This window comes from Homo sapiens, chromosome 6, assembly GCF_000001405.40.
Source record: "Homo sapiens chromosome 6, GRCh38.p14 Primary Assembly".
Classification (NCBI taxonomy): Eukaryota; Metazoa; Chordata; class Mammalia; order Primates; family Hominidae; genus Homo; species Homo sapiens.
In genome coordinates this window covers 32,515,397-32,534,707 of record NC_000006.12, presented here as the reverse complement: position 1 = coordinate 32,534,707, position 19,311 = coordinate 32,515,397, and the positions used below count along the sequence as shown (strand labels likewise).

Below are 19,311 nucleotides of genomic sequence, written 5' to 3'. Positions count from 1 at the left end.
CTGGCCTGGGGGCGGTCCCTCCGGCTGCTGAAGGGTTTGGGCAGCGCAGTTGGCTGCCTCAGGGGCGCGAGGCACACGGGACATGGGGCACCGGGGTCCCACCATGGCCACGGTTCCCGCAGTCGTTCCTGCCACCACCGCTTGCAATTTCCCGCTGCAGCCGGCCACTCTGGACAGCTCGCCACTGCCGGCATCACCACCCTTTTAACCTCAAATACTAAGCTGAACCTTAGCTGGATTTCCTAGATTACCATCATCTCAATTAGTTTCTTTTTTACACAGTTTGTTCCTTCTTTTCTTTTTTTTGTTTCTTTTTTTTCTTTTTCTTTTTATTTTTTCAGGGTGTCCCTCTGTCACCCAGGCTGGAATGCAGTGGCATGATCTTGCGTCACTGCAGCGTGGACCTTCCAGGTTCAAGCAATCCACCCACCTCCTGAGTAGCTGGGACTAAATTAGTTTCTAAGTAAATTATTATTTTCTGTTGACCAAATTAAATGTGATATTCTGGTTGCAATTTCACAACTTCCAATAGTATTGAATTATTATTGGGGTATAGAGACATAGTTTATTCTCAAATCCAGGGACAATAGTGACTTTTACCCATGAAATTTTGAACTTTCTATATTAATAGAAGTATGTTTTCCCAAAGTAAGTGAGGCACTTTTTTTCTTCTATTTTGAGATGATCAAATTTACTACTTTATCATGAGAAATCTGAAATAATAATTCTGAGCAATAGTTTATATTTAAGAATTTTGAGGTCACTGTTACCTTTAATAAGAAGGAGACTTCTCAGGAGCTATGGGTGTCATCACATAAGATAAATGCAAATGCTGTCATTTCCAGGGGAGGGTAAGGATGATAATGAGGGGATTCTTTTGAAGGAACTAGAATTGCTACACAGTATCTTCTTCAAATTGTATACTGCTGCCATTCACTAACATGAGTAGCGATATTGCTATGCGCATCCATAAATTATAGGAATATAAATAATTTTAATACACAGGACATTATTCTCAGAAATAGAATGAGAAGGATTATGATATAGTGGCTGAGCCTGAGGGGCATGTAATTTGGTTCAATCTATAGTATGCCATTTACTAGCTTTGTATCTTTGCAAAAGTTGTTTCATCTCCATCGTTTTATTCTCTCTACCTGTAAGCATGAAAAGGGTGTTTATTTTACCGAGCTGATGTGAGAATGAAATAAAAATATGAAGTATAAAAAGCGCTTAGTACAATTCTGAGTATAAAGTAAAATGCTCATTTTTATGGTAGCATGGTGAGAATGCTGCCCCTGGAAACACTAAGGCCCATGAGGAAGGATTGCCTATGTGGTAGCGTGTGAATTAATGCAGAGCGTTCTAAGTATAGTTGTACTTTGAAGTCCATTCTGAATCTTAGATGTTACATTTATATTAATAAAAAGCATAATAATTATCTAAATGTATAATAATGTTCAATATTATATAGTTACATCAACTGATGTAATTCATAGTTTTCCCTAGTGTTCTCTTTCCTGAACATTCTAAAATGTATTAGTTATCAAAGTCGTCTTATATCTTCCCTTATGATAAAACAAGAGAAACATAATAGTAAAGTGCTATAGCCTCAATCAAATGAGAAAATCATAATGGGAACCAAGAATGAGGGATTGAACACTCTTCACATAAAATATTAATTATTAATATTTTTTATTTATTATTATTATTATTTTTTAAAGTATTTATTGATCATTCTTGGGTGTTTCTCGGAGAGGGGGATTTGGCAGGGTCATAGAACAATAGTGGAGGGAAGGTCAGCAGATAAACATGTGAACAAAGGTCTCTGGCTTTTCGAGGCAGAGGGCCCTGCCGCCTTTGGCAGTGTTTGTGTCCCTGGGTACTTGAGATTAGGGAGTGGTGATGACTCTTAACAAGCATGCTGCCTTCAAGCATCTGTTTAACAAAGCACATCTTGCACCGCCCTTAATCCATTTAACCCTTAGTGGACACAGCACATGTTTCAGAGAGCACGGGGTTGGGAGTAAGGTTATAGATTAACAGCATCCCAAGGCAGAAGAATTTTTCCTAGTACAGAACAAAATGGAGTCTCCTATGTCTACTTCTTTCTACACAGACACAATAACAATCTGATCCTCTTTCTTTTCCCCACATTTCCCTCTTTTCTATTAAACAAAACCGCCATTGTCATCATGGCCCGTTCTCAATGAGCTGTTGGGTACACCTCCCAGAAGGGGTGGCAGCCGGGCAGAGGGGCTCCTCACTTCCAAGACGGGGTAGCCGGGCAGAGGCGCCCCCCACCTCCCAGACGGGGCGGCTGCCGGGCGGAGACGCTCCTCACTTCCCAGACGGGGCGGCTGCAGGGCGGAGGGGCTCCTCACTTCCCAAATGGGGTGGCTGCTGGGCGGAGGGGTTCCTCACTTCTCAGACTGGGCGGCCGGGGCAGAGGGGCTCCTCACATCCCAGACGGGGTGGCAGCGGGGCAGAGACACTCCTCAGTTCCCAGACGGGGTCACGGCCGGGCAGAGGCGCTCTTCACATCTCAGACGGGGCGGCGGGGCAGAGGTGCTCCCCACATCTCAGACGATGGGCAGCAGGGCAGAGACGCTCCTCACTTCTTAGACGGGATGACGGCCGGGAAGAGGCTCTCCTCACTTCCCAGACTGGGCGGCCGGGCAGAGGGGCTCCTCACATCCCAGACGATGGGTGGCCAGGCAGAGATGCTCCTCACTTCCTAGATGGGGTGGCGGCCGGGCAGAGGCTGCAATCTCGGCACTTTGGGAGGCCAAGGCAGGCGGCTGGGAGGTGGAGGTTGTAGCGAGCTGAGATCACACCACTGCACTCCAGCCTGGGCAACATTGAGCACTGAGTGAGCGAGACTCCGTCTGCAATCCCGGCACCTCGGGAGGCCGAGGCTGGCAGATCACTGGCGGTCAGGAGCTGGAGTCCAGCCCGGCCAACACGGCAAAACCCCGTCTCCACCAAAAAATGCGAAAACCAGTCAGGTGTGGCGGTGCGCGCCTGCAATCCCAGGCACTCGGCAGGCTGAGGCAGGAGAATCAGGCAGGGAGGTTGCAGTGAGCCGAGATGGCTGCAGTACAGTCCAGCCTTGGCTCGGCATCAGAGGGAGACCGTGCAAAGAGGGAGAGGGAGAGGGGGAGGGGGAGGGGGAGGGTATTAATTATTTTAAAACAGAATTGTGGCCAGGCACGATGGCTCATGCCTGTAGCCCCAGCAGTTGGGGAGGCCAAGGCAGGCAGAACACGAGGTTAGGAGATCGAGACCATCCTGGCTAACACGGTGAAACCCCATCTCCACTAAAAATACAAAGAATTAGCCGAGCGTGGTGGCACATGTCTGTCGTCAGAGTTACTCAGGAGGCTGAGGCAGGAGAATCATTTGAACTGAGGAGGCGGAGGTTGCAGTGAGCCAAGATCGCACCACTGCACTCTAGCCTGGGTAACAGAGCAAGACTCCGCCTCAAAAAAAAAGAAAAGATAGTTGCTCTGTGAACAGCTGACTTTCACAGTCTTCGATCGATCTCTCAGACCCACGAATACTTGGACTGCACAGTTGACCTTATCACATTGTTAGGGTAAATGCCATACAAAGGCACCTTCAGACCCTCCATTGCACATAGGTGGCCCCTGCAAGCCCCTTGCCTGTGTGTGTTCTGGAGGTGCCACTGAACTTGGGGACAGCATCAGGAGACACACTTGAAAAAGATATTTTTACTCAGATTAAATTATTAACAAACTTTCAATTTCCTTTAACTTATTAAAGACATCCCTACCTGTAAATAGGTACGGATTAAGCTCTCTAGTCAATAGCTGTCATTCTGTCATATTATCAGATACCCGGGGCTGCTGCTCCTTCAGGCGTCCACAGAATCACAGCATTGTCCAGTATTGAAAGACCTGAAAGATTGCAGTGCCTTCATTTCAACTGTGAGACATGAAATAATTTTCCCAAATCTACAACATTAAGATACGGTGCAATAAGGACCAGATTAAAGGTCTCCAATTTACAACCATGTTCCCTCCATCTCCTTTACTCCTAAACACACTCACACACTCACTTCTGCAAACAATTGTCTTGTCAAGTGGGAAATGAATGCTCTTACAAGGCTCAAACTTGTGAACACATCACTGACCAGCACAGAGCTGGCTCACGATAGGGACCCAGTTAAAGTGTTTTACGTGCAACTGGATCAAATCTTTCAAGTACTAATTTAAAACAATCCTTTAAATAAGGAAATTCTGTTTCAGAAGAGGACCTTCATACAGCATCTCTGACCAGCAACTGATGATACTATTGAACTCAGATGCTGATTGGTTCTCCAACACGAGAGTACCCAAACCAGGAGGAAGGAAATCAGTAACTTCCTCCCCATAATTTGGAATGTGGGTGGAGGGGGATCATAGTTCTCCCTGAGTGAGACTTGCCTGCTCCTCTGGCCCCTGGTCCTGTCCTGTTCTCCAGCATGGTGTGTCTGAAGCTCCCTGGAGGTTCCTACATGGCAAAGCTGACAGTGACACTGATGGTGCTGAGCTCCCCACTGGCTTTGGCTGGGGACACCCGACGTAAGTGCACATTGTGGGTGCTGAGCTACTATGGGGTGGGGAAAATAGGGAGTTTTGTTAACATTGTGCCCAGGCCAGGTGCCTTAAGAAATTGTGACATTTTCTTCAGAGATTGCCCATCTTTATCATGGGATCCCAAATTATTTCCTCCACAAAAGGAGCTTGACTACTTGCCCTCTCCATGAGACTGTGTAAGGGGCCTCCATACAGGTCATTTCTTCTCAAATCTCCACCAATGAAACCTTTTCATCACATGTCCTCAGGGTCTTTAGAGGATTTAGAAATAAGGATGCTAAAATAAATTCCCCATACAGCACTTCCCTTTATTATGTTGACCTATGTCAGACAAAACGAGTTTTTTTCTGAAAATTTTGTGGGAGTCAAGGGAATTCAAAGGGTCTCTCCTAGACAATCCTGTGTTATGCCCTTGACAGAACCTGTGATATTGGCTCCTCTTCCTCATATGTGAGAATGGACCCAGTGGCCTCCCCATTACCTCCTTTCTTTTCTTTCTGAACTCCAATGTTTACCCTGTAATGTATGCAAGGTCTCTGACAGAAGTTATGCTTAGTGCTTTTTCTTATGGGGAAAAATCCTTGGAGCTGAAGCTGAGATCTTTAGTATGTGGAGTCACCCTACAGTTAAAGGGCATCTATGAGGTATTCTTTGGTGCCTAAAGGACTTAAGGCATCCTCTAAAAACCTGGCCCAGGTTAGAGTTTATTACAAATCTTTTTTAACCTTTCTATACTATTTGCTCCTATATCTCCTACATGCTCTAACTAGACATGACAGGAAGAGATTCAACTAACATAGGACAAATTATATGAAATTCTATTTTTGTAAGTCAAAAATAGTCAAATATCAGAAATTTGATAAGGTTAAAACTATATACTCTGTGTGGGGTTACAGAGAGAATGTGGACATTGTTCACATCTCATAGGGCTGAAAGTTAATGATCAAGTCCTGGGAACTCATTGTCTTACTGGGGTCTTGTCCTAAATTTCATAGGTTCACCCGTCATGCCCTCAGCTTTCCTTAATTAGCCATGTCTGCTTACCTCTTCCTCCAGTTTCTCTCTATTTTTCCCCAGCTATGTTGTCATCATATCCAGAAATCCCTAAAGCTTGCACAGATCCTTAGCACTATGAGATCCATTGAAAGAGATAATTTTTTTCTTTTTGAGATAGGGCCTGGCTCTGTCACCCAGGCTGTAATGCAGTGGTCCGATCTAGGCTCACTGCAACCTCTGCCTCCAAGACTCAAGCTATCCTTCCTCCTCAGCCTCCAGAGCAGCGGAGACTACAAGCCCAACTAATTTTGTTGGAGATGAGATTTCTGCCATGTTGCCCAGGGTGGTCTTAAACTCCTGGACTCAAACAATCCTCCTGCCTTGGCCTCCCAGCATGCTAGGATTGTAGGTGTAAGCCACCGCACCCAGGCACGGTGAATTCATTGCCCAGGCAATGAATCTCAATGAAAAATTTCTTTTTTCTTAAATCACTGTTTCTTTATCTGTGAATTCTTCTTCCAATTAGAAGGAGGAGAAAGAAGAAATTTGCCTGTATTTCTCACCGGGAGGAGAAGGATTCTAGTGTGACATCAAATTGAAAGAGTGCTGGAGCTCGAGCCCCTTCTTGCTTTCCAGGATCCTTGCAGTGATCAGTTCCCAGAACCATGGTTTATTAATATAAACCACAGTTATTTTTATCAGCAGCTACTCTGTACTGGGCTCCCTTCTAGGTTCAAATCATTCTATTTGAGTAAGATAGAGAGGGTCCCGACTCTCAAGGTTACACAAGAGTGGAGGAGACAGACACTAACCCAATAAGCATTTAACAAAGAAGAAAATTTCAGAGAGTCATAGTGCACTGAAGAAAAGACATCAGGTTTGTGGAAAAGAGAGAAATGGATTCACCTACTTTAGTTCATATGTCTAGAGAGCCCTACTTGAGAAAGTGACATCCAGCTGAGAAAACAAAATAAGTAGACAGTCGTGAAGATCTAAGGGACGAAAGTTCCAGGGAGACCGAATTGGGGGGGAAGCCCTGGTGTGGGAAATTATGTGCAGGGACAGAAAGAAGGCTAGAGGGACTGAAGTGAGCAAGCAAGGAAATGCAGTGGCAGAAGATGAGGTAGGATGCAGAGAGGAAGTCGGGAGCCTCATATCAGGCTCTGATGTCCATGGTAAGAAACTTGAATTTTATTTTATTTTATTAATTTATTTATTTATCTTATTTATTTTTGAGAGGGAGTTTCATTCTTGTTGCCCAGGCTGGAGTGCAATGGCATGGTCTCAGCTCACTGCAACCTCTGCCTCCCGGGTTCAAGTGATTCTCTTGCCTCAGTCTCCCAAGTAGCTGGGATTACAGGTACCTGCCACCATGCTCAGCTATTTTTTCTGTGTTTTTACTAGAGACAGACTTTCACCATGTTGGCCAGGCTGGTCTTCAACTCCTGACCTCAAGTAATCTGCCCGCCTGAGACTCCCAAAGTGCTGGGATTACAGGCGTGAGCCACTGCGCATGGCCTGAATTTTATTTAAATAGATATGGGAAGCTACTGGATGGTTACAAGGAAAGTCAATTTATATTCTTTTTTTTTAATTTTTTAATTTTTTTTTTTTTTGAGATATAGTCTTGCTCTGTCACCAGGCTGGAGTGCAGTGGCACTATCTCGGCTCACTGCAGCCTCTGCCTTCTGGGTTCAAGAGATTCTCCTGCCTCAGCCTCCCAAGTAGCTGGGATTACAGGAGTGCACCACCACGCCCAGCTAATTTTGGTATTTTTAGTAAAGACAGGGTTTCACCATGTTGGCCAGGATGGTCTTGATCTCTTGACCTCGTGATCCACCTGCCTCAGCCTCCCAGTGTGCTGGGATTACAGGCGTGAGCCACCGTGCCCGGCCTATATTGAATTTTTAAAACTAATTCTAGCTACTCTGTGGGGATTGGATTGTTGGGGTTGACAAGTGGTTAGGAAGACTATTTAGGAGCACAGCAGGGAATCCTCAGGGAAAATAGGCTTGAGTTCACTAGTGATAAAGACAGTGAAAAAGATAAAGTGGATTTTGCTTACCTTGTTAATGGATTACTGTAAAGGGGGTAGAAATATCAAGCTTATTCCTAAGGATTTTGTTTTGACAAATTAGTGAAAGGTGGTGGTGTTTATTGAGATAGGGAAAACTGTGGGAGGAAATGATTTGAAGTGGGTGGTTGGAAATAAAAGTTTTGTTTAAGTTTGAGATGATTTATTGACATTTGTGTGGAGCAATCAGAAGGTCAATGGCATTTAAAAGACTCATGGTGGGCCAGGCGCAGTGACTCATGCCTGTAATCCCAGCACTTTGGGAGGCCTAGACAGGCGGATCACCAGGTCAGGAGATCAAGACCTTCCTGGCTAACACGGTGAAACCCCGTCTCTACTAAAAATACAAAAAATTAGCTGGGCATGGTGGTGGGTGCCTGTAGTCCCAGCTACTTGGGAGGCTGAAGCACGAGAATGGCGTGAACCAGGGAGGTGGAGCTTGCAGTGAGCTGAGATCACACCACTTCACTCCAGGCTGGGTGACAGAGCAAGACTCCGTCTCAAAAAAAAAAAAAAAAAAAAGAGACTCATGGTGAGGCCAGGGCTGGAGGTATTTATGTTGGTGGCATCAATAGGTGTACTGTGTTAAATTCCAGGGAGTGGAAGAGGTTACATAGGGAGATTGTCTGGAGAAAAAAGAAAAGGGCACAGGCCAGCAAAGGGGACTAAGAAAGAGCCCAGGGATGTTGGGAAAAAACCAAGATTACATCATATGTGTAAGTCAAGAAAAATAGATTTTTTTTTTTCAAGGAGAAGGGAGAGGCCAATTGTGGTGAGTACCACTAAGAGGAGGGTGAAGTGAGAATGTGACAGAGAAGCAACGGCTGGGATTGGTGGAGCTGATATTTGCAGTCAGTAGAGTATCCAGGGAGGAAACTGGATTGGACCATTTGAAGAGCGAGTAGAAGAGAGGACAAGGTTAAGGTTGACTGTTTTGAGTAGCGAGCTTCAGGGAAGGACTGTGCTCTGGGTTCAGGGAGCCAGCTGGATCAAAAGGAAAAGGCTAAAGAGGCTGAAGAGAAGCAGGAGGACCTGTGAACCAGAGATGCTCGGTCATTATTATCAAGGAAATATTAGAGGGCCCCTGTGTGCAGTGGTGACTGCTCATGAAGAGGTCACACAGCCAGTATTTCACACAGCCCATATTTATTAGTGACTTAGAATATACCAGTTACTACTCTAGGTCATGAGAATGGAGTGATGAATAAAATGAATCTGGTCTCCATCAGTATATGCCATGTAACATTTTGCAGTGACTGTGTACCAGGCCTATGAATTTCAGTATGCAATTTCAATAATGATCCTGCTGTATCTGTGGTATATAAAAACATGTACATCTCTGGAATCTAAAATTGAAAGGTTATAAGTAAAACCCAGTATCACAAATTTGGTGCTAGAAATCAGATTGCAGTTTAAATCTGAGCATGTAGAAAGTCCATTTCTTCTATGTCAGCAGGTGCCTTTTGTGTGAGGTTTAGGTATACTGCATTATTAGACATAAACCAGTGTTTCTGCCCTCTGTTTTCAGAATGACAATTCTTTATGAAACTAATAGAAGAACAGAAGACAATTGCAAAATCATGATGAAGATACTAATTGCTTTAGAATCATGTAATAGAAAAAATAATGTGAGCTCCAGTTATAGGGATCAAAAAATTAAAATGGGAATACATTTGAGTGTTTATTATGTGATCACTGCTAAGAAGACTCTTTATTAAATTTCACACTTACAAAAATCCTGTGAGGATTATTATAAAATGCATTTGATAGATTACAAATAGGCTTATGGTTGGCAAAAAGTGACCCATTTAAAAGAGGTCATATTTCAATTCATATTTTCTGATTCTAGAATATGAGAGTTTTTCCATCATTAGTGAGTAGTGACTTGATTGTGTCTGAATTATTGACAAAATTTCTAATATTCATATGTACCAGGTTGTTTCTTAGAGTGGGGGCAGAGATGCAAGGGCTTCTAGTTCCAATGTATAAAAGAAACTTTCATTCATTTTGCATTTATCATTTTAAAAGTTCTATAAGTCTATCATAGGCATGTGTTGAAGAACATAAAGAAGTATTAAATCATTCCTTCTTCTGAGGTTTGACTAGCAAGTCTGGCTAGGGTTGTCAGATAACAAACAGGTTCCTAGTTAAATCTGAATTTCAGACACACGACCACAATTTATTGGAAATCCAGATTTACCTGGGCATCCTCTGGTTTTATTTGTCAAATCTGTCAACCCTAAGTGGGACACATGAGCATGGATTACAGTGCTAGCCATGCAAGCCACAGTGACAGTGACTTTACAAATGTTTATTTTTTAACATTCTGTCTGTAAAGAAAGTGCTTACATAATTTAGGAATAGAAAGATAGACATTGTTTGATCCAGGGTGCACACCTCTCTGCCATCATTTCTAAAGGGCAAACGGAGCTTTGTGAAGGTCTCTACACAAAGTCTGGGGACCTGCTCATGTTTTGTAAACTGTCTGTATGAGAACGTCATTTTCTTGGTTTCTGACTTTCTGAGGGGACTTGACTACAAAACCAAGAGTTCTATCTCTGGCCAAGGCTGGTAATTTGATGCCTGCTAGTATTGTTGGGAGTGGGAGACTGAAAGACGTGAGTTAGTTGGGGCATTAAATGGGAATAAAATAGCTGTGGTTGTGATTCACTACTACAGATAATTAGTGGACAAGTGGCAGAGAAATTAAGAAAGAAGATGATATGAAAGACAAATGATATGATTTGGTGACTGGTTGGTAATGCAAGGAAATCAGTAAATCTTAGTTCTCAACAAGTTCATTTTCTGGAAAGATAGCACTGTATTGGGACCAGAATTCTATAAAGCATTCGTTTTATGTAGGACCAAGATATTCACAGATATTTTTCAATACAATTCTCAGCTGCTCCATAACCACTAGTGGCTTGTTCAACACAGGTTTTTTCAGATGGTTCACACCTGTGGTTCTTACCCAGGGATCGTTCACCACCGCTCCTTTCCCTCCCATCACCCTTGGGGAACTTGTGGCAATGTTTGAGCAATTTTTGGTTGTCACCACAGGGGTTTCTTCTGATATTTAATGAGTAGAAGCCAGGGACACTGCTAGAGAACCTACAATGTTCAGAACAGCCTCCTTTACCAACAAAGAATTATCTGGACCAAAATGTCAATAGTGCTGAGGCTGAGAGCACTGTTTCACACTGTGCTCTTTCTGAAAATTCTAGACTCACATCTTTTATACACTCAGCACCCAATTCAGTTCTTTATGGTTTATTTTTGCTTGCTTCATTATGCAAAAGTAGACAGTTGCATAAATTCAACCACTTTCTTGTTGAATCCATTTAGTCAATGCAAGTTTAATAGCTTCATAGTTAGTTTTTGCCTTATGCAATATTTTTCAACATTTTCATGAGTTGTTGGTCAGCACTACCTCTATTAACTTTCAACAACTTGCCCTTATAAGTCACAAATAGTGATGCTCTGCAATTATTTTTCACTAACATGCCTGAGATTTCTGTAGTGATTCTACATTTGGTATGATTCATAATGTAAAATGCTTTTATTTATTCATTTCACTTTTAACCAGAGGATTATTTTTCAGTTATTTTTGTCATTTTTACACTTCAATCAAACATAAAGACAAAAACATCTAAAATATATAGTATTTTACATATGTGTATATTTACACACATATATGTATGTATGTTTACATGTATTGAAACTACAGAAGCTCATGTCACCAATAAGAGCTCTGAGACACTTTTGACCCCTTACTCTTATCAGGTGAAATTTGCCAAATAAGTTTTATGAACAAATTTCTTTTAACTGAATATCTGAGCTTTGTGGATTTAGAAATGCAAAGGAAGGTTTGTGGACATTCATGGGATCATGGTTTTATTCTCCTTAAATCTCTTTGATACTTTCCCACTGTCTTTAGCATAAATCTCAGATCCTAACACCACCCACAACGCTTTTCAATACCTGGCTTCTTGTGATGTCTCCAGTCTAATCTTTTACCCTCCTTCCCCTCAGCCTCTCTGCTTTAGTGAACTTTGTTCTAGTTTCTTGAAGAAGTTCATCAATTCAAGCTTTTGTGCATGGTATTTCCTAAACCTGAAATGTGCTTCCCCCGTTTTGCCCAAACAGACACAGAGTCTCCACTCCGCCCCCTGGTTCACACCTGCTTAACCTGCCAAGTCACATCTGAACTGTCACCCTTCAGAAGGTCCTCCTCTGGCACCCTAATGTAATTGAGATCATCCTATTACTCTGTGTTCTGGAACTCCACACTTCAGACATTTCTCATTCCTGTCTAAGCTCTTGTGTGTTTGGTTTTTGGCCTCACTTTTACTGCTCTTTAAGCTCCCCCAGCGGAGTGGAGAGGTCTGTTTTCCCGTGTTTGGATTCCCAGAGGCAGTGCAAGCCTGGCACAAGGTCATCACTAAAGGAGTGTTCACAGGATGAACGCGGTGGGAGTTAGGGAACGGGTAAAGCCTGTGGGATGAGAGAAGGAGCAGAGATTGTCTTTGGGGTGCAGGCTCCCAGGAGGAGGCGGCGCGGGCTCCGGTGCTGGGCGGATCCTCCTCCAGCTCCTGCTTGGAGGTCTCCAGAATAGGCTGGAGGCGGGGAGGGGGTCCCAAAAGCCTTGGGATCAGAAGGGGTTTTCCTGCCTGGTCCCCCAGACACCCCGTTCGCCTCAGGAAGACGGAGGATGAGCCTCTGGGCTGCGCGTGGTCGGGGTTATGGTTGGGATCAGTTAAGGTTCCAGTGCCCGCACCCCGCCCAGGGAGCCCCGGATGGCGGCGTCTCTGTCAGTATCTTCCCCGGAGGCCGCCCCTGTGACCGGATCCTTCGTGTCCCCACAGCACGTTTCTTGCAGCAGGATAAGTATGAGTGTCATTTCTTCAACGGGACGGAGCGGGTGCGGTTCCTGCACAGAGACATCTATAACCAAGAGGAGGACTTGCGCTTCGACAGCGACGTGGGGGAGTACCGGGCGGTGACGGAGCTGGGGCGGCCTGACGCTGAGTACTGGAACAGCCAGAAGGACTTCCTGGAAGACAGGCGCGCCGCGGTGGACACCTACTGCAGACACAACTACGGGGTTGGTGAGAGCTTCACAGTGCAGCGGCGAGGTGAGCATGGTGGGGGGCGGGGCCTGGGTCCTTGTGAGCTGGGAATCTGAGTGTGTGTGTGTGTGTGTGTGTGTGTGTGTGTGTGTGTGTGTGAGAGAGAGAGGAAGAGAGAGACAGAGAGGGAGCGCGCCATCTGTGAGCATTTAGAATCCTCTCAATCTTGAGCAAGGACTTCTGAGGACACAGGTGTGTGTGTAGAGTGTGGATTTGTCTTTGTGGCCTTTGTGGGAGGGGAAGCAGGAGGGGGCTTCTTCTTATCCTTGGAGGCCTCTGTGGGGAGGTGACATGGGAGGTGGGTGCAGGGGGCTGGAGAGAGAGGAGACCTTGGTTGTCTCGTGTCCTTAGAGATGCAGGGAAGGAAAGTGTAAGGTGTGTGTGGTTGGGGTGAAGGTTTAGGGGAGGAGAGCTGAGGGGTGTGGAAGATTTGTGATAATATGAGGAGGCCAGTTCCAGACTGTCCCTGGCACCCACCCTTCACGCAGTCTCTGAAATAAAAGTGTGTGGTGTTTGTTTGCAAAAGCATTAGATTAATTTCTAGGGGAATTGAGGAGACCTCTGAGGCACTTCTGAAGCTTCTTTAGGTCTAAATTTCTTGCTATTTTTTCTGTTTGTTTTCTTAGTGTGTATATTTTTACATAGTTGAAATGACTGTGAAACTAACTTTTTGATTAAAATTTTAATACACTGTTACTATTTTATTATAATGCTAATAGTTTTCTACTACTTACCTATTATTCTTTTATATATAATAGTTGTGACACAACTTATCTCACTTTCCCCTTTGTTGACCTTTATTATGACATTCACCAAAAGTTGAAAATATATGTTTCTGGTTATTATTTAATTTATTTTTTTATTTGGAATTCTTTTGAATTATCTTGACCTATTTATTGCCCAATTATAATTACTGCTCTAAGAATTCCCTATTGTATTTGGTAGGTAATGGACAATGATCTATTTTCTGTTATCTCCAGGGCTTAGTATTTTTCTCAGTGATTTTGTGGGTTCTTTGTACTGTAAGATTATTAACACTTTATTGATATTTGATTCCACATTTTCTCCAGTTTTTGATTTGTATGTTGATTTTGAAAATTCTATGTTAAGAATTTGAACATTTCTGTTTAATAAAATATATTCCAAAACTTTTATTAATGGTTTACAAACCATCTTAAATCTATCATTTTGTGGTATTTTTGTCTCCAGGTTTCTCCTTCCTTCTTAAAAAAAATGTATTTATTGAGAGTCTGCTAGTGTTAGGGATTTTCCTAGGCATAAGCACCCCAAGTAATGAGTCCCAGACCCTGCCTGCCTTGATCCAAATGTCATTCTGGAAAGAAAAATTATTTTACAATGATAGTATAATAATAGTTATGCTTGTTTGCATGGGAGATGCATTGATCAGCTAAATGTAAATGTAAGAATTTTCAAAACTAAAATAACTTTCCTTAATCCTTCTCTCTGCTTTATGACTCATGCTTTGCTGGGAACTTAAAGATTGGAGAACCATTTCTGTCTGTCCTACCTTCCCAGGGGCACAACCATTTCTGTGTTGTTCTAAGGTGTGAGTGCATGGCAGTAGTATTCCTAAACATTCATACTCAGTCTCCTTTTGTACCCTACTCGGTCCCTTTATCTATCCACATTACTTTAAATCATATTTTTCTCTCAAACTGTACAAGGATGATAAATAGGTGGCAAGTGGAACACCCAAGTGTGATGAGCCCTCTCACAGTGGAATGGAGTGAGAAGCTTTATGACCTCATAAATTAAAGGCTATCTTCAGTCATTGTTTTATATATTTTATGTGCATTAATCCTCATATAACCCCAAGAGGTAAATTACTATAATTATCCTCTATTATGGGTGAGAAAGTTGAGACACAGAAGAATCGAAAAACTCTTCCAGCATCAACCAGTAAAAGGCAGACCTTGGATTTGAGCCAGGCAACCTGGCTCAGGTATCAGTTTTAATTACTACACTCTGTACTTTCAAAGACTTGTAAACACTTTGACAATGCATCCCAATTTCAAGTGATGAAGAAACAAACACAATTTTTCACATCTCTCAAATCTGATGAGCCCCCACTATAAAGACTAAATTCCAGGCTGATGACACTGTGAGGCCTCATGGCCAGCTGTGCTGGAGGCCTGGTCAAGGCCAGAGCCTGGGTTTACAGAGAAGCAGACAAACAGCCAAAAAGGGAGATTCACTCTGTCTTCCTGAGTCATTCCCTCTACATTTCCTTTCTCCTAGTTGAGCCTAAGGTGACTGTGTATCCTGCAAGGACCCAGACCCTGCAGCACCACAACCTCCTGGTCTGCTCTGTGAATGGTTTCTATCCAGGCAGCATTGAAGTCAGGTGGTTCCGGAACAGCCAGGAAGAGAAGGCTGGGGTGGTGTCCACAGGCCTGATTCAGAATGGAGACTGGACCTTCCAGACCCTGGTGATGCTGGAAACAGTTCCTCGAAGTGGAGAGGTTTACACCTGCCAAGTGGAGCACCCAAGCGTGACGAGCCCTCTCACAGTGGAATGGAGTGAGCAGCTTTCTGACTTCATAAATTTCTCAACCACCAAGAAGCAAACTTTACTAATCCCTGAGTGTCAGGTTTCTCATCTCCCACATCCTATTTTCATTTGCTCCATGTTCTCATCTCCATTAGCACAGGTCACTGGGGGTAGCCCTGTATAGTTTCTAGAAACACCTGTATCCTCTGGGGAAGCAGTCATTCCTGGCAGGAAGGAGAGGCTGTCCCTGTTTTGAACCTCCCCATGATGTCACAGGTCAGGGTCACCCCCTCTCCCAGGGCTCCAGACCCTGCCTCTGGGTCTGAGACTGTGTTTCTGGTGCTGTTGATCTGAGTTATTTGTTGTGATCTGGGAAGAGGAGAAGTGTAGGGGCCTTCCTGACATGAGGGGAGTCCAATATCAGCTCTGCCTTTTATTAGCTCTGTCACTCTAGACAAACTATTTAACCTCATTGAGTCTCAGGCTTTCTGTTTATCAGATGTTGAAGCCGTGCCTTACATCAGGGCTGTAATATTAGAATGAATTTGATCCCTGAAACTTGTAACTGTTCAGTGTGATTTGAAAACCTTTTTTTTCTCCAGAAATGGCTAGTTATTTTAGTTCTTACAGAGCAGCCTTCTTCCCCATTTTCAAAGCTATGAATATTGCAGGGTCTCAATTAAAAAGGTTCAATTTGGGATAAAAATCACTAAACCTGGTTTCCTCTCCCAGGAGCACAGTCTGAATCTGCACAGAGCAAGATGCTGAGTGGAGTCGGGGGCTTTGTGCTGGGCCTGCTCTTCCTTGGGGCCGGGCTATTCATCTACTTCAAGAATCAGAAAGGTGAGGAGCCTTTGGTAGCGGCTCTCTCCATAGACTTTTCCAGAGGAGGAAATAGGGCTTTGCTGAGGTTAGTTCTCAGTATATGAGTGGCCCTGGATAAAGCCTTTCTTTCCACAAATGACCTCCAATGCCCTGCTAATCCAGAAATCATTAATGCATGGTTACTATGTCAAAAGCATAATAGCTTGTGGCCTGCAGAGATAAGAGAAAGGTTAACTAGTTAAGGGTCCTTTGGTTTGAAATCCTGGAGCAAATTAAGGAAGAGCCACTAAGGCTAATGCAATTACACTGGATCCTGTGACAGACATGTCATGCTTCATGGGTCACATGGTCTGTTTCTGCTCCTCTCTGCCCTGGTTGGTGTGGGTTGTGGTGTTAGAGAAATCTCAGGTGGGAGATCTGGGACTAGGACATTGTGTTGGGAGAATAGATTTGCTTCCATACCTTTTAAGTGTATATCTTTTCCTCTTTTTCCCAGGGCACTCTGGACTTCACCCAACAGGTAATACCTTTTAATCCTCTTTTAGAAACAGATTCAGTTTTCCTAGAATGATGGCAGAGGTGATAAGGCATGAGACAGAAATAGCAGGAAAGACTTTGGATCCAAATTCCTGATCAGGCAATTTATACCAAAACTCCTCCTCTCCACTTAGGCCTGTGCTCTGCAGGAGTATTGGTTCAGGGAGACTTAGGAACTTGTTTTTCTTCTTCCTGCAGTGCTCTCATCTGAGTCCTTGAAAGAGAGGAAAAGAAGCTGTTAGTGGAACCAGGTCTGAAAACAACACTTTCCTCTCTCTCTGCAGGACTCGTGAGCTGAAGTGCAGATGACCACATTCAAGGGGGAACCTTCTGCCCCAGCTTTGCATGATGAAAAGCTTTCCTGCTTGGCTCTTATTCTTCCACAAGAGAGGACTTTCTCAGGCCCTGGTTGCTACCGGTTCAGCAACTCTGCAGAAAATGTCCATCCTTGTGGCTTCCTCAGCTCCTGCCCTTGGCCTGAAGTCCCAGCATTGATGGCAGTGCCTCATCTTCAACTTTAGTGCTCCCCTTTACCTAACCCTACGGCCTCCCATGCATCTGTACTCCCCCTGTGTGCCACAAATGCACTACGTTATTAAATTTTTCTGAAGCCCAGAGTTAAAAATCATCTGTCCACCTGGCTCCAAAGACAAAAAATAAAAAGAAAAGAAAAAGGGAAGATTATTTCCTAATAGCATAATGGTTTTTATATGTATTTCATAAGTATGTGAGGTAATGCACATATTAAATAGCTTGATTTAGTCATTCCACACTATAGGCATATATCAGAACTTCATGCTGTACAACATAAATATACTATACAATTTTTACTTGTCAATAAAAGTAAACCTAACATTTAAAAAGGCAATGCATAAAAATTGAGAACAGATTATAACAACTGAAACAACTTGGCCAACATGAGATGAGAAACCAGCTAGCAAGTCAATCAGAACTCTTCCTTAACCTATTCTAAATACTGCGTATCCATAACTGTAAATTGCATATAATTTTTCATTCCAGAAACTTCAATAATACAATATTATCCAAGGACTTGTACAGATTTCAGAGAATGACAAATTTAGAAAATGGAGGGTTCTCCATTGTGTTTTGAGAGTCAGTATCAAATATGTCAAATCTAAACGGTACATAATCAATGCAGAAGCCTATTTCAAAGTAATAATCATTTGAACATAATTTCTCTACTGTCAGAGACAATTATTTTACTTTCAATCAAATTCAATGTTTATGCATATTTTATTTTTAGCTATATTGCATGTTACTTGTACATATATAGTAGGTATGTACAAGTACATAGAAATCCTGTAAGAATATAAATCCTATAGGAATATAATAAGCTGATAATTATGTCTGATCTGTTTGATTCCAGAGTTGCAATAAAATAGGCTTTCTTCCCTAAGTTGAGGAAATGATTTGTCTCATTTTATATGAGACTTGTGGTGTGGAATTATAAAGAAGAACGAAAATGTGTGGGATGAATATTTCTTTTCTTTTCTTTTTTTTTTTTTTTTGAGACAAAGTCTTACTCTTGTCCCCCAGGCTGGAGTGCAGTGGCGCCATCTCGGCTCACTGCAACCTCCACCTCCCGGGTTCAAGCGATTCTCCTGCCTCAGCCTCCCGAGTAGCTGGGATTACAGGCGCCTGCCACCAAGCCTGGCTAATTTTTGTATTTTTAGTAGAGATGGGGTTTCACCATTTTGGCCAGGCTGGTCTTGAATTCCTGACCTCAGGTGATCCACCCGCCTTGGCCTCCCAAAATGCTGGGATTACAGGCTTGAGCCACCGCGCCCGGCCAAGATGAGTATTCCAATGAAAATGCCTTCTGCTGCTAATAGCAGGAAATCCCATCTAGCAGGCTTTATTTTTTTTTAACCCATGATCTCACATAGCCGTTAGATCCAATGCTGGTTGTCTCCAGGATTGCTCAACTCAGCTGGCCAGTGGCACCTCCAGCGATCCTGAACTTCATCGCTCATCTCTCTTAATACACAGCACGTCAGCTTTCCTGCGATGGTCGGAGGACCCCTGCAGCAGCTTTAGGTTTCTTATTCTTTCACAGCAACTCCCAGAGGTAGGAAAAGGATACTCCTTTCTCCTGTGTGCCTTTATAAGGAGCAACTAAACTGTTTCCAGAGTGTTCCCAGTACCCACTTTCTCACACATTGGAATGACCGTGGGATCACATGGGCTCAGACAAGCCTGGATTCAACATTTGTAGAGTGGGCCTGACACACATGGGAAGAAAAGGAGCAAAATCATACATTTTTAAAAGTAAAGAAATGGTGGCTAGAGTAGGAGAGATTGATTTCAGGGTAGGGAAATGATAGACTGTGGTACCATTGGGTTGTTAGTATTTGTAGTTAAATTCCACATTAAGGCCTATAGATTGCTGATAGGCATCCTCAATTCAGGGTTTTGGGTCGTTTTATAGATATATATATATATACACACACACATACACACACACACACGGAATATATATATATATATATATGTGGAATATCTATATATGGAATATATATATACATGGAATATCTATATATGGAATATATATATACATGGAATATCTATATATATGGAATATATACATGGAATATCTATATATGGAATATATATAGAATA

General features: G+C 43.1%; 1 protein-coding gene across 2 annotated transcripts; it reads left to right on the top strand.

Annotated features, from left to right (window-relative positions):
- Window positions 1-4,420: 4,420 nt before the first annotated feature.
- On the top strand, window positions 4,421-17,355 carry HLA-DRB5 (major histocompatibility complex, class II, DR beta 5). Of its 2 annotated transcripts, none has more exons than NM_002125.4 (6): window positions 4,421-4,583; window positions 12,534-12,803; window positions 15,057-15,338; window positions 16,042-16,152; window positions 16,631-16,654; window positions 16,956-17,355. In NM_002125.4, exons 1-6 carry the CDS (start codon window positions 4,484-4,486, stop codon window positions 16,967-16,969), a joined length of 801 nt encoding a protein of 266 aa, NP_002116.2. In that variant the 5' UTR covers window positions 4,421-4,483; the 3' UTR covers window positions 16,970-17,355. The 2 variants fall into 2 exon arrangements, with proteins under 2 accessions (NP_002116.2, XP_011512864.1); XM_011514562.3 differs by having other exon boundaries at window positions 16,870-17,286.
- Window positions 17,356-19,311: the final 1,956 nt, after the last annotated feature.

Excerpts from the sequence above, each read along its gene's own strand:
- HLA-DRB5 (XM_011514562.3), top strand. The coding sequence starts at position 4,484 with ATGGTGTGTCTGAAGCTCCCTGGAGGTTCCTACATGGCAAAGCTGACA. Across the intron at positions 4,584-12,533 it reads TTTGGCTGGGGACACCCGAC|CACGTTTCTTGCAGCAGGAT; the intron begins GTAAGTGCACAT and ends GTGTCCCCACAG. Across the intron at positions 16,153-16,630 it reads CTACTTCAAGAATCAGAAAG|GGCACTCTGGACTTCACCCA; the intron begins GTGAGGAGCCTT and ends TCTTTTTCCCAG.